Raw genomic sequence first — 15,414 nt, forward strand, 5'->3', positions numbered from 1 at the left:
ATAATTGTATATCTAGAAAACCATAAAGACTCATCCAAAAAGCTCCTAGAACTGGTAAGTAAATTCAGCGAAGTTTCAGGATACAAAATTAATGTGCACAAGTCAGTAGTTCTGCTATACACCAACAGTGATCAAACTGAGAATCAAATCAAGAACTCAACCCCTTTCACAAAAGCTGCAAAAACAATAAAATACGTAGGAATATATCTAACCAAGGAGGTGAAAGACCTCTACAAGGAAAACTACAAAACACTGCTGAAAGAAATCATGGATGACACAAAACAAATGGAAACGCATCCCATACTCATAGATGGGTAGAATCAATATTGTGTAAATGACCATATTGCCAAAAGCAACCTACAAATTCAATGCAATTCCCATCAAAATACCACTGAGGCTGGAGAATAGTGCCTGGAGGCAGGGAACATAAGGCCGATCCAGGCTGACTTCCTAGAATTAAATCAAATGGAAGCACTTCAGCAATGACAGGAATGTGAATGGTTTTGTAACTTCACTCCATCCTCTCCACTTACACCATTTACACTTTGTAACTTCACATTCATCGTCTCCATTTACATAGATCATACACACCAAGTAACATCCTCTCCATTTACATAGGGTGCATTCTGAGTAAATGACTTTGTAACTTCACTTCATTCTCTTCATTTACACAGAGCATGCACAAAGTAACCAGTGGGAAAACTCTAGAGAGTATTGAAACCCCAGAAAATTCTGTAACCAGGTCTCTTGAGCCCCTCTGCTTAGGCCCACTCCCACCCTGTGGAATGTACTTTCATTTTCAATAAATCTCTGCTTTTGCTTTCCTTGCTTTGTTTTTGCATTTTGTCCAATTCTTTGTTCAAGACGCCAAGAATCTGGACACCCTCCATGAGTAATACCATCATCATTCTTCACAGAGGTAGAAAAAAGATCCTAAAATTCATATGGAACCAAAAAAGAGGCCACAGAGTCTTGCTTTTTGCAAGACTAAGCAAAAAGAAAAAAATGTGGAGGCATCACATTACATGACTTCAAGCTAAACTATAAGGCCATAGTCACCAAAACAGCATGGGACTGGTATAAAAATAGACACATAGACCAATGGAACAGAATAAAGAACTCAGAAAGAAAGCCAAATACTTAGAGCCAACTGATCTTCAACAAAGCAAACAAAAACATAAGGTGAGTGTCAAGTGCATCCGTGTGAAGAGACCGCCAAACAGACTCTGTGTGAGCAACAAGGCTGTTTATTCACTTGGGTGCAAGTGGACTGAGTCTGAAAAAAGAGTCAGCAAAGGGAGATAGGAGAGGGGCAGCTTTATAGGGCTTGGGTAGGCAGTGGAAATTTACAGTTAAATGTGGTTATCTATTGTTAGCAGGAGAGGCGGTTACAAGGTGCGTGGTGGAGAGATCACGGGACTCATTGTCCAGGAGAAGAATGTCACAGGGTGGATTGATCAGTTGGGGCAGGGCAGGAACAAGTCATAATGATAGAATGTCATAAGGTGGGTTAATTAGTTAAGGCAGGAACTGGCTGTTTTACTTCTTTGTGGTTTTTTGGCTGCTCCAGACTTCTTGGTTCCTGCAGGCCACCTGGATGTATATGTGCAGGTCACAAGGGTTATAATGGCTGAGCTTCGGCTCAGAGGCCTGACATTCCTGTCTTTTTATTTATAAAATATAAAGTTATAAGAGAAGATAAAGAAAATGAAAGTTTTTACTGAGGGTTATTGGGGTAGGGGCGATGTTTCTCAGGGCTGCTTCAAGCATGACTTAGGGGTGGCATGGGCACCTAAAGAAACTTTAATTTTATAGCAAGTTGGTCTAGAAAGTTTTTGAGTACAATTTTATGTGGTTAACAAGGCATCAGTCAGCATATTTTTGAGTTTGGAATTGTCCTAATAGAAAAATTTTTTAAAAATAGCAATTAAGCATAATACCTTTAAGGTAGGTGGCAGTGAGTTTTTTAGGCCAAGGAAGGAATAATGTTTTACATACGAAAGCTTTTTGTCCCCATTTCCCATCGTATGATAGGATTCCCTGTTGTTAAGCCAACGATCTATTATATCACGCTTTTTCCATAGGTGTGAGTGGAGGTCTGAATGGAGAAGTTTAATAGTTCTGATTGCAGATCCTATGCAGGAGAGATAATAAGTAAAATAATCTTTGTCTCCTGGATTAAGCTGAGGAAGAATGAAATTTCCATGATCTAAGAACCACTTGCCCTGAGTTGGAAAAGACTGGTAGAGCAGGTTTTCAGAAGAGGAGTAGGTGGAGGTGATAGAGAAGAAAGAAAAATACTGGCCTTTTGGAGTGAGGGCTGGAATATTTGCGGGTGTGGAGGCATTTACTTTCTTTTGCTGTCCTGTCGGCATAGGCATTTCCTTTAGCAATAAGATCAGTTGGTTCCTGATGATCTTTCCAATGAATGACCCCAGCCTTGGCAGGCAGGAGAGCAGCCTTAAGGAGGGCCTTCATTAGAGAGGCATTGATAATGGAAGAGCCTTGTGTGGTGAGAAAACCTCTTTCAGCCCAAATGGCAGCATGGTTATGGAGGATGTGGAAAGCATATCTGCAGTCAGTGTAAATGTTAATGTACATTCCTTTGGCAAGAGAGAGCACACGAGTTAAAGCACTCAGTTCAGCTGGTCGGGAAGTAGTGGAGGGAGGAAGTGCAGTAGCTTCGATAATAGAGGTGTGGGACACAACAGCATCACCAGATTTAGCTGGCAAGAATTGGTTGGGTTTAGAAGAAATGCCCTCAATAAACCAAGTGTGGTCTGGGTTTGGGATTGGAAAAATAGAAATATGAGGAAAGGGGGAAGATGCTATGTGTATTAGGGAGATACAGTCATGTGGCTCAGGACTTGTGCTGGGTGCTAAGTGAGAAGCTGGGTTGAAATGGGGCCCATGGGTAATAGTTACTGTTGGGGTTTCAATAAAGAGTAAATAGAGCTGGAGGAGTCGAGGGGCAGACAGCAAGTGTGAAAGGTGTGAGGAGAATATTAATGCTTGAAGGTTGTGAGAACTGTAGAGGGTAAGTGGAGCATAGCTTGTGATTTTGAGGGCCTCTAGAAGTATTAAAGCGGCAGCTGCCACCGCACGTAGACATCAGGGCCAGCCTAGAACTGTAAGGTCAAGTTGTTTGGATAGAAAGGCTACAGGTCGTGGGCCTGGCTCCTGTGTGAGAACTCCAGCAGCACAGCCTTGTATTTCAGCTGTGTGTAAGGAAAAAGGTTGGGATAAGTCAGGGAGTGCTAGTGTGGGAGCTGTTTCTAGGGCCTTTTTGAGAGAATGAGAGGAAGAATGGGTAAAGGACTTAGGGTCTATGGGATCAGCTAAATCACCTGTAATCGCAGCACTTTGGGAGGCTGAGGCAGGCAAATTGCTTGAGGCAAGATGTTTGAGACCAGCCTGGCCAATATGACGAAACCCCTTCTCTACTAAAAATACAAAAAGTAGCCGGGCGTGGTAGTGCATGCCTGTAATCCCAGCTTCTTAGGAAGCTGAGGCACGAGAATTGCTTAAACCCAGGAGGCAGAGGTTGCAATGAGCCGAGATCATGCCACTGCAGTCCAGCCTGGGCAACAGAGCAAGACTCTCCCTCAAAAAAAAAAAGATTTCTGGGAAAACTGAAGATCTCTGTGTTTCAGAGGAAGTTGTGCACATATTTGAGCAAGAAATGAGCTAGTCTATAGCTTCAGTGAGCTAAAGAAAAGGACCAGTGCATGTGGAGAAAAATACTCCAGACTAAAGAAAGGAAAGTTACTCTGACAAACATAGGACATAGATTGCCACGATATTTTGTCTTCTAACCCTGTCTGTTTAAAAACCAAAGAAATCAAAAAAGCTGACTGGTAATGCCAAGTTGTGTCAGTAGAAAGAAGTAATAGAAACACCCAGTCTTCCGTTAGAGAAAACGTTTCCATTAAAATCAGAACTGTAATATGATCTAACAATCCCACTACTTGATATATATCCAGAGGAAATAAAAGCAGTATGTCAAAAAGACATCTATACTCCCATGTTTATTGCAGCATTATTCACAATAGCCATGATATAAAATCACCCAAAGTGTCTGTCAGCAGGTGAATGGATAAAGAAAATGTGGTATATATACACAATGGTATGTTATTCAGCCTTGAAGAAAATTTTGTAATTTTTGACAACATGGATGAACCTAGAAGACATTACGCTAAGTGAAATAAACCAGGTGCAGAAAGATAAATACCAAATTATCTCACTTATATGGGGATTTTAAATGAAAATTGAACTCATAGAAGCAGAGAATAAAACGGTGGTTGCCAGGGTCTGAGGGAGGAGTGGGTGGGGATTGAAGATGTTGGTCAAAGGATACAAAATTTTAGTTAGACGGGAGAAATAAGTTCAGAAGATCTATTGCACAATGCAGTGATTATAATTAATAACAATGTATCATATACTTAAAAATTTCTAAGAGAGTAGTTTTTGTTGTTGTTGTTGTTGTTTTAGAGATGGGGTCTTGCTATGTTGCCCAGGCCGCAGTGCAGTGGCTATTCACAGGCATGAACATAATGCATTGAAGGCTTAAATTCCTGGCCTCAAGTGGTCTTCTCGCCTCAGCCTCCTAAGTAGCTACGACCTATGGGCATGTGCCATTGACTGGGGCAAGAGAGTAGACTTTGATGTTCTCACCACAAAGGGATGATAAGTATGCAAGGTAACATATATGTTAATTAATTTGATTTAGTCATTCCATAATTTATACATATATTGAAATATGTACACCCTAAATATATACATTTTTTGTCCATTAAAATAAATGAATAAATAACAATTTTTTTTAAAAGGGTAAAAAGAAAAACTGGTCTTTATCTAGAAAGAAAGCTTAAACATGAGGACATGTCTTTAACTCCAGGTAAAACTGGAGCCAAGTTGTGAAGAAGCCTAAAGGCTTCAGAAAGTAGGAAACACTTAAGGAGTTACTTAACCCAAGGTGTCTTTTCTATAGATATCAAGAGGTCCATAAACACCTTGAAATAGTATCTGCAATGTTTTTTGAATGTTTGGTTTCTGGGAGAGTTTATAGCTTTCACAGATTTCTCATTAAAGTCTATAGCACAAAAAGAGCTCAAGTAAATGAAGAGATCATCTTTCTAATTATCTCAAGAAGATTTTTTTTCAAAAGTGGCTGGTCTTGAATCCCTGACAAACCTGTATAAGCATCAGACAAAAGGATTCAAGGCAGTGGTGTGCTGGTAAATGTTTAGGAGCTGGCGATTTAGCAAAACAAATCCTAATATATAGCATTTGTTGATTTTTGTGGTGTACATACTCCACCATGGCCAGTTTCAAGCTACAGATGAGACACTGACTAATACAAAATTCCTGAAGATATTAACAATCAGCTTCGAGAAGCCTGTAGGAGTCAACTGCAGCAAGACCTCTGATTGAAGGTGAGTTAGTTTTTGTCAGGTCTGGAGAAAACTTAAATTAGGGCAAGTCATTAATGAAATGAGTTGAGCCTGATTTTGTGTACATTTTCTGCTTAAATTTTGTAAATATTTCTCTAAATATATTTAAGAAGCATTTTTGAAGTGTTTAGCCAAGTTTAAAAGATCAGAATCAATGAATAGAGCAAAAGCTTTTTCTAATTTTTTCATAAAAGGATTAATTTATGTAGAGAAATTAATCAAATGGAAGATAGCGTGAAAGTTATGAGGAATAAATCAACTCCCTTCTAAACAGCAGTTCTCAAAATACAGATCCCAAGGCAGCAGCAGCAGCGTCACCTGAAAACTTGTTAGAAATTAAATTCGCAGGCTCCCACCCCAGATCTGAATCAGAAACTCTGAGAATGATGTCCAGCTATCTGTGCTTTAACAAGTTCTCCAGAGGATACTGATGTGCACTAAAGTCTGAGCACCACTTCTCTAAAACAATGGTTCTTAAATTTTAGTGTGCCCAAGGATCCCTGGAGGAATTTGTTAAAATGCAGATTTCTGGACCCAGTGCACACCTGCTGAATCAGACTCTCCCAGGGTGAGGTTCAGGAACAGCACTGTGTTTTATTTTGTGTAATTTTGCTCACTTGTATTAATTACACTTTGCAACACAGAGTCACCGGGAGGAAAAAGGAAACTTCTTATAAAAATGTTTAAATATTCACAAAAGTAGAATAAAGAGTATAATAAATCCTTATGAGATCACCATTCATCTTAAGCAAATGTCAACATTTTGCCTGTCTTATTTAATGTTCCCCACTTCATTTTTTAGCTTTTTTTAAAGTTTTTATATAGTTTCAGTTTTATAATTTAGTTTTATAGTTTTAGTTTTTCTATAGGAATATTTTAAGATAATATTTTAAGGTAAAGGTATCCTAATATCTAACCAGCAATTATTTCAGTATTGTCTCTAACAGGTAAGAGTCTTTTCTATTGCCAAGTCATTATTATAGTGTCTTAGTCCATTTCGTGTTGCTAAAAGAAATACCTGAGGCTGGGTGATCTATAAAGAAAAGAGGTTTAATAAGCTCATTCCACAGGCTGTATAAGAAGCATGGTGTTGACATCTTGCTCAGCTTATGGTGAGGCTTTTGTGCTGAGTCAAAACATGGCAGAGGTCAACAGGTAAGCGGCCAAGTGTGAAGAGGGGCCAAGCCCAAGGGGCATTCTCGCTTCATAACAACCCACTTTCTAAGGAGCCATCCTAGTCTCTAGGGAGTGAGAACTCTCTCATTACCAAGAGAAAGGCACCAAGCCTTTAGGAGGGATCCATTCCTGTGACCCAAACATCTGCCACTAGGCCCCGCCTCCCAAAATTGCCACTCTGGGAATTAAATTTCAATATGAGATTTGGTGGAGAAAAACAAACCATATTCAAATCCTAACATGTAATGTTTAGAATAAATAACAATTCCTTAATATCTTTATCACAGACATGCAAAAATGTGTCTTTTGTAGTTGATTCATATATTGCATTTGTTGGCTATCCTTTTAAGTCTCTTTTATTCTGTAATAGTTTCTCCTTTCCCACTTCACTTTTTTTTTTTTTTTTTTTGAGATGGAGTCTCACTCTGTCACTAGACTGGAGTGCAGTGGTGTGATCTCAGCTCACTGCAACCTCCAGCTCCTTGGTTCAAGCAATTCTCCTGCCTCAGCCTCCCGAGTAGCTGGGATTACAGGCATGCACCACCACGCCCAACTGATTTTTGTGTTTTTAGAAGAGATGGGGTTTCACCATGTTGGTCAGGATGGTCTCAATCTCCTGACCTTGTGATCCGCCCACCTCGGCCTCCCAAAGTGCTGGGATTACAGGCGTGAGCCACTGCGCCGGCCCCCACCTCACTTCTTAATGTTAGCTATTTGTTGGAAAAACCAGATCATGTATCCTTTATAATTTTCCACACTTTGGACTTGGCAGAATATATCCTCATGATTTTCTTTAAAGTAGCCTTGTAGATTGATCCAGAAACTTGTTCTGCTTCAGGTTCACTTGTTTTGGCAAGAATACTTCATAGGTGGTACTCTGTACTTTCTACCATATCCTATCAGGAGAAACACAATGTTGAGTTGCAATAGTTTTGGTGATGTTAAATTGATCAGTGGGTGCAGGTATAATCAGACTAATCCATTCAGTATGAAATTGCAAATTACACTGTACATTTTCTGTCCCAGACTAGGGCAGGGATCCCTGCCTCCTTTGAGTGGAGACTGGACTTACAGACTGGACTCCTTCCTCCCAGGCTTTTCCAGTGGACAGAGTTTGAATAGACTTTTTGTTTTAGAAGAAAAAGAATTAGTTTATACTGATATTTGCAATTCAGATTTAATATCACCAATTATTTACTTGAATTTATGCTGATGATATGAATTCAAACCAACCATATCAATATTACCATGAACAAAAAGACTACTGAATGTGGTTAAGATTTTTATCCCATAAGAGGTGTACAGTCAAATATGCTGTTATAAAGATGTATGAAATATGTCTTTTCTCTGTGTGGTTATGCCACAACTTGATATACTCTCATATTTGCTTTAGTTTGTTTTCAATTTTGAGAAATTATTTTTTTCTTTTTAACTTATAAAATAGTTATATGATTCCAAAAATAAGAACTATAAAACAAGGCATATTCAGAGATATCTAGCCTCCATTTGTTTCTCCTCAGTTTCAATATTCTAATTTCAACAAATACATGTACACATTGGTATAGCCCCTTCTTCTCTCATATAAAAGGTAGCATACATTGTCCTATACCTGGCTTCTTCACTTAACACTTTTGTCCTGGAGATCTCTTCATATCAGTATCTAAAAGTCCTTTTCATTCCTTTTTACAACTGCGTAAGTACTACATTATGTAGACATACCACAGTTTATTCAGTTAATCCCCTATTAATAGATATTTGGCTTATTTCCAGGTTTTTGCTAAACAAATTATGCCAGAATAAATAGCCTTGTATATGAGCCATTTTGTATTTTTGCTCATGTACCTGTGGAAATTGCCATATTCCTAGAAGAGGGATAGCTAAGTCAAAAATTAAATATATATGTAATTTTGATAGATATGTACTGCCAAACATCCCGCAAAATGTACCATTTTGAATTCCCAAAGACAATGTATGAGAATGCCTAATTGCACACAGTCTTACCAACTCATATGTTGTCAAACATCTTTATTTTTTTCCCATCTGATAAGTGAGCAACAATTCCTCAGTGTAGTTTTAATTACATTTCTCTTTTTGTGAACAAGAGATTAAGTAAGTGTACTTTTACATTATATGTTCTCTGAATTGTCTGTTTTTATCTCTAGCCCATTTTCTTTCTTTTTTTTTTTTTTTTTTTTTTTTTTTGTAGAGATGGGGTCTCTCTCTGTCGCCTAGGAAGGTCTCCAATTTCTGGGCTCAAAGGATCCTCACAAAGTGCTGGGATTACAGGCATGAGCCACCTTGCACAGCCTCAGCCCACTTTCTCTATAGTTTTTTCCAGAGGGAAGGGGGGATAATTTTTTGTAATGTGATTAAATTTATCAAACTTTTTTTAATGACATGCATTTTTCATCACAGCTAAACATTTTTCTCACTCAGAATATAGAGAAATTCACTCATAATTTCTTATTGTCCTGAAGAAATTCTTATGCATACCAAAGTGCCAGTTTATGATCCAAGTTTGTAAAGTGATGTCAAACATTGCATTGTTTAACATGAGACATTTAATAATCAGTCATGTTCATAGTTTTCTTAATTCTTCTAAATGATGTCAATCTGATATCTTCTTGCCTGAAAGACAAAACATTCCATTAGTAAAATAGAAAAGATTGTTTCTGGAGTAATTTAGACTATAAATAAACATTCAATTATTAAAACCCTTACCTTTCTAAGAGAAGACAACATAAATCATTATGATGCAGCCCACAATCCAGCCAATCAGGAGAAGAATAGGAACCAGAAGGTGTGAAAATGTAGACCCCGCTTTAAAATAAACCGTAGAAAACAGATTATATTGGTCATTTTCATATTAAATTTTCTGTGTCAAGAGAATAAAAGGAATTTGGTAACATTAAGAAAAAAGCATACACTCTCTAGTTATACCCATACATAATTATTTTTTCTTTTCTACAGAGAATACGTGAGACTGTCATAAACCCTGGGTATTTTGAATCAAACCATGGGTCTTTTACTGTTATGTGACCTTTGGCAATTCTGGGCTTGAACTTTCCTACTGGTAAAATATGAATAATGAAACTTGTGCTCTCTACCTCCTGGAATAGTTTTGAACATCAAATGACATAACATATGTGCAAAGCTTTGTAAACTCTAACCACCGTGTGTGTTTAGTGTATACAGAACACATTCATGCATTTGTGCAATAACATATACAGCAGCTATTTATATAAAAAACAATCTAATACAACTCTGAGGCAATTCCCACTAAAGTAAATAATTATAACACAAGGAAAGGTATTGAGAACTGTCCTTGGCCTCAATAGCTGAATGTAATTTTAAATATCACAGGGAAAAGGAAAGTATCATACATTATGTAACCATTCTTGACTACAGAAAAGAATTTCTATTGTTTAAAAATTGTTCAGTATAACAACCAGCACTGAACCTGAATCAATGGGCAGTAATAATCCAACACACACATAAATGGCGTTTGTTATATATGATTCCTTCTGTGCCTCCTATTTGTACTCTTACCTGTAAAAAGCAATTTATACAAGTATCTTTTTTAAAGTATGCACTGCATGTAACTCTTGTTCTTTCAAGCAAACATACACAGGCATACACACAGAAATCCACACCTACATCACACAAAAAGATTTAGAAAGAGCGCAGAAAAACATTCTATGGAATTAATGTCCCTGTGTTAAGGACTCAGATATATTCTTAACTGCAAAGCATAATTAGATCTTATGCCATTAGTTAAAAGAGAGAATGCATATTCTTAGCAATTATACTCCTATTACAATTTCCATCACTTTAAAATGTGAAATTTTTAAAAATGCTATTAAAATAAAATCATCAGGAGATGAGACACATTTAAAATTAGAAGACACTTTTATAAAAGCAAACTTTCTGAAGTTGAAATAAATTTTAATACTTTAAATCAATTTTTCCAAGAATGCTAGAGTCTCTCTTAACTGACAAAATTCAACATGCTTTTCTTGTTTCTCCATCTCACTGTGACCTTGTATAAGGCATTAAGCACTAAATGGAAAACTCTTCTCTTTACTTGACATGTGGTATTGCTTAAGGATAAAGCAAACAACATGAGTTGCCCTTTACTCTCATTTGGACGAAAGCCTTTTTATGAATTAAGGTACCATTACAATGGAAGTACATAGCAGTAATTTTTTTGAACTGTCTAGGTATGTGGCTTTATATTTTTCCCAATTTCAAAGAATTTGAAAATTAATATTAACCCTTTAATTGTGCATTTATATTTTATACATGCATATTTTAATAAAATTTACATATCACAAAGCCCTAAAAGTATCTCATTATTTACTTTCCTTGTAAAATAGTACCAGTAGCACTAACTGTGCATTTTAACACCCAAAGTATACATTCCATTGTTTTTTTAACACTAATGTTTTCAACTTTACTAATACCTGTGGAATTGTTTGGAAGTAGAAATACGTAAGAGCACAACATACTTTGCATATGTCACTTACATTACTAGCACAAATAAGAACAAAACATCTCTTAAACATGAAGTGTAATTCTAAAATGCTTCTCTCTTGTCCAGTTCTGAGCATATCAAAGTAGTTACAGCTGGAAGTGTTCTTGAGGACACTGTGCTCTGGAAAAGACTGTCCAGGTTAAACACCTGGTGCCACCACTCTTTAGCGATCATGAACAAGTTACTAAACTGCTGTGTCTCCATTTTCTTATCTATAAAATGGGGATGATGATGATATGCATATTTCACAAGGTCATTGTCAAGATTCAAAGCAAAAATTCCTGTTTAATATTTAAAAACCATTTCTTAGATACAGTATATATTCAACTTTTTGACAAATTGGAATCAATTATTTTATATAACTATAAAATATAAATACAAAAAAATGTTTAAAAACCAGAAAAAAGTTAGATGTGGAACAAAAATTTTAGGTGTGGAATAGATGCCTGAGCCCAATATTCTCATTTTACTGTCAGAAAACAGACTCAGAGAGGTATAGGGACTTCTGCAAACTCACATAGCCATTTACTAGCAGGTCTGACACAGAACTTAACTGTCTTCAATTCTGGCTCAGAATTGAAATCAGGAGAACTGATTTCTAACTCACCTTTCAAAATAAGTATTAACAAAATTAAGCTCTTTTCCTTTGTTGATCATTTTAAAATTATTCATAACCTATAGACCTGATCCATAGATTACATAATTAATGCATTTTTGCAGCCACACTAACATATATGGTTAATGGTCATTTAGCATAGATATCACATTTTTTAGAGTGACTGGGAAACACCAAGAAACATAAATGAACCAAAGTCAAGAAGCCTTTTTTTTTTTTTTGCCAAGAGAATCCTATGCCTTAAATCTTACCTTTTTCAGCCATTATTCCTGTTGGTGGGTGGCTAGGTCAGGCCACGCTTACCTCTTTCTTTTGTTATCCAGCGTCTCTTTGAACTTTAAATAGAGAGAAATCTGAAGATTGCGGCAGCTGCCCGTCTCCTGGCTGCCAATTGTCTGCAGAGTGATGTAAGTCATGGGAAAGCAGAACTCCTCTGGCTCTTTATTCTATTATTATGGAGGAAACGAGGGGCTACATGACCTAAACAATTAGGTAAGCTGAATTATCCTAATGCAGATATTCGCAGGTTTTTAATTTGCACCATGCCTTTAGGTAACATGAAGAAAATGTTCTATAAAGAAGGTGTACAGAGGAAAAACAACATTCCACCTATACAAGTGCTATCAAGGAGAAGGGTGATATATTAGAAAGAAAGGATTTTGATGTTGGAGAGACTTGGGTTCAAATTCCAGCTCTTTCTGTAATGAAAGCCAAGTTGCTTAACCTGGGAATCAGCTTCTTTAGTTTTAAAATGAGGATAATAATACCTACTCATGGGAGTCGCATAAAGATGAAATGAAAGTCTGTATGAAATGTAGACAGTTCTTTATTACTTTACAGGTGGAAAACATAAAATGAAATGGTGCCCCTTTCTTTGAACTATTCTAAAACAAAAAGTGTTAATATAAATGTACTAGAAACTAAAACAATACAGACGTCGCCTAGAATTTTTAGGAAGCAGTCATAAGCTTGTTGTTTTTATTAGCAATGTATAAAAATAGGACATTTCATTTTTCAAAGTCCAAACTGGTTTATGTAACTGACCTAGACTATTCTCTATATTCTCATTGGAATAACTTTAAATTGGGGATCTGGCTGGAAAAGTTTTGCAGAGTGACCCTGTGAGCATCTTCCCAAAAAAAATTTGACATAAGATTAAGACCTGTAAAGGCAGGTCTGGCCTGATCAAATTTATCTCCACAGAGTTCCAAGAGTGATATTGCCTTGCAAATGACCATGTTCCATCACTGCTCAAAAATCCACCAATAGTTCTTCATCTCCTAGACAATAAAAATCCCAACTCTTTGTTTAGACACCTAAAAACCCTTATTTCTCTACTCTTCCATTTGCAGTGATAACTTCAGTGACACTGAACTCCTTGCTATTATATGAATTCAGAATCCTCCCACTCTCACAGGCAAGAAGAACATTTGACTTTCTACCTCAAATAATGTACCTATAGATTAGAGTGTGCAGCCAAGAATCTGGCACATTTATATCATTTATGTCAAGTTGTCATCTCTCTCCTCAGTCTCTCTCTCAATATATTATTTAATATTGAAAAAATGTCTGGCTATGTCAGGTAAGCAGAAAAACTACGTATTGTTTATGCAACAAAATCCCTTGCTTACCTGGCAAAGTTGGGTATTTTTTTCAATATTAAATAATAATACGTTAAACAAAGGTTAACTGAGGCCAAAAGAGAGAGAAGAAATAAAAATGTTATTGATCTCATTTAAATATAAAAAATGTTAATTCAGTAAGTTCAAATGAACACTAATTATCTTAAGGAAAAAAATGATATTTAAAACAAACAGTGTGGTACCCACAAAGAGCACAAACATACATAATAAAATAAAATAATTTGCCTGAAACATATGAAAAGGTTTCTACATTTTAAATACTCATTTCCATTTCAATTATATTAAGCTTTCTTCTTGACATGAAATTGACTATTATTAACATTATTGCTGTCAATTTGGAGTTTGAGGAGGGATTAGTTTATAATTCATCATTTATTTTCCTTACTTTTCTATGGAAAGAAGAAGAGAAAAAACTAACTTAATCAACATGAATTTCTCAGACTTCAGAAAAGAATTCAACCTAGAATCTCATTTCCTTGGTTATATCATCAGTAAATTTTTTAAAAAATATAAGTTTTATAATATTTAATCAGGAAAGGATGTTTTATTCATTAATAGACTGGTTTCACTTTGAGCTTATAAACCCAAGGGCCTATATTTGACCGTTTTCTAATCTTTCTCTTAGGACATACTAATTAGGAACATTTTCTACTTTTTTACTTTACATACTGTCTTAAACATTTAGCTCTCAAATCCCTTATTCTCAAGGTGACATTAGATTCTTCAGAGATATGTGAGCCGAAAAATTTAAATATTTGGTTTTTCTTTAAAATATTTAAGAATTCTTCACTTTTCAAATATTTTTCACTACTAATGTCTGGAATTATAGTACATAGACCTGACCATGGTGGATGCTCATGGATCTTTGCTTCATGGCTGGCTGACTGGGTAGGTGGATGTAATAAGTGCAGTATAAGGTAGCTTAGTTTGCACTCTAAACAAAGGTTTACTTATGGCAATACCTAAAAGAGTAATAAGAAATAAAATGATCTTAACTATACTCTAGCCTTATAATATATGCATATATAGATAATACAGTGTATTTAATTACCAGTAACATTAGAATAATCTATAAATAAGAATATAAACAAATAAAAGAAAGTGACATCTGCAAAAATAGAGGAGTGGGGGACTCCAAAATATCTTTCCTTCATAAGAGCACCAAGAAAGCCATCTAAAATTTTTGAATCAATTTTTAAGAATTGTAGAAATTAACCAAGGACTTACAGCAACTGGGGGAGCTGGAATCTAGGTAAGAACAGCAAGAGTTTTGTGATGTTTTAATTTGGCCTATTCTCATCTCCCCCATCTCCAGCTTTGTAGCAGCCTTAAACAATATCCCAAAATCTCAGTGAAAACTAGCAGACTAGCAGCCACCAGAGGAGACAGAGCAGAACAGAACTCTTTCAAAGTCTCAGTTTCAGAGAACAGTAATTATTTAAACTGTCTGGTGGTTCTCCCAAAGACCTCACCTGCAAGGCTGTCTTTATTTGATAAGACTCAGAACTTCCACTGTGTGAAAAGTACCCACTCCCAGGGCATTTGTTGAAAACAATTAGAGGCAATTGTTTAACATCACAGCTGCCTAGGTAACAGAGTGAACAATAGGCTAACTAAAAAGCTTAAAAGGAGAATCTAGGGAATGAGATGTCAATAGGGGTTTGAAAAGTTTCACATATCCTTAAGAATCTAGAAGGCTACATGCATATGTTCAGCTATGGGCATGACCTCATGGCTGTGGGTATGCTTAGGAAAGACCTGAAAAGGCCCTAAGCTTTCACCTCTGGCTAACCTTGAGGCTCAAAATGGAAAGCAAATGGTAAGGCAGTTGTCAACTGCCTGGCTGAGTGTTAAAGGCATACCTCAACACATACACAGAGCCCATCATTAAAGTCTGGAAGGCATACTAGTTATAGGCATTTAAAGAAATCATTGTCCAATCATTAGTTGATAACTAATCTAATTGAGCAAAAATTTTAGTGGTCACATACA

The 15,414-nt window shown here is 36.3% G+C and overlaps 1 protein-coding gene across 1 annotated transcript, besides 1 other annotated feature; it reads right to left on the bottom strand.

Moving 5' to 3' along the window:
* Positions 242 to 784: an enhancer, noted in NCBI's record as "OCT4-NANOG hESC enhancer chr3:154999620-155000162 (GRCh37/hg19 assembly coordinates)". NCBI's record gives its function as "activates a minimal SCP1, AML or CMV promoter by ChIP-STARR-seq in naive H9 embryonic stem cells {active_cell/tissue: H9 hESC(naive)}" and the evidence as "EXISTENCE:reporter gene assay evidence [ECO:0000049][PMID:30033119]".
* STRIT1 (small transmembrane regulator of ion transport 1) lies at positions 8,638 to 12,094 on the bottom strand. The gene is made up of 3 exons (NM_001352129.2): positions 12,031 to 12,094; positions 9,351 to 9,449; positions 8,638 to 9,257 (listed from the first exon to the last, which is right to left on the bottom strand). Exons 1-2 carry the CDS (start codon positions 12,041 to 12,043, stop codon positions 9,355 to 9,357), a joined length of 108 nt encoding a protein of 35 aa, NP_001339058.1. The 5' UTR covers positions 12,044 to 12,094; the 3' UTR covers positions 8,638 to 9,257; positions 9,351 to 9,354.
* Between the last annotated feature and the right edge of the window lie 3,320 nt (positions 12,095 to 15,414).

This window comes from Homo sapiens, chromosome 3 (genome assembly GCF_000001405.40).
Source record: "Homo sapiens chromosome 3, GRCh38.p14 Primary Assembly".
Taxonomy (NCBI): domain Eukaryota; kingdom Metazoa; phylum Chordata; class Mammalia; order Primates; family Hominidae; genus Homo; species Homo sapiens.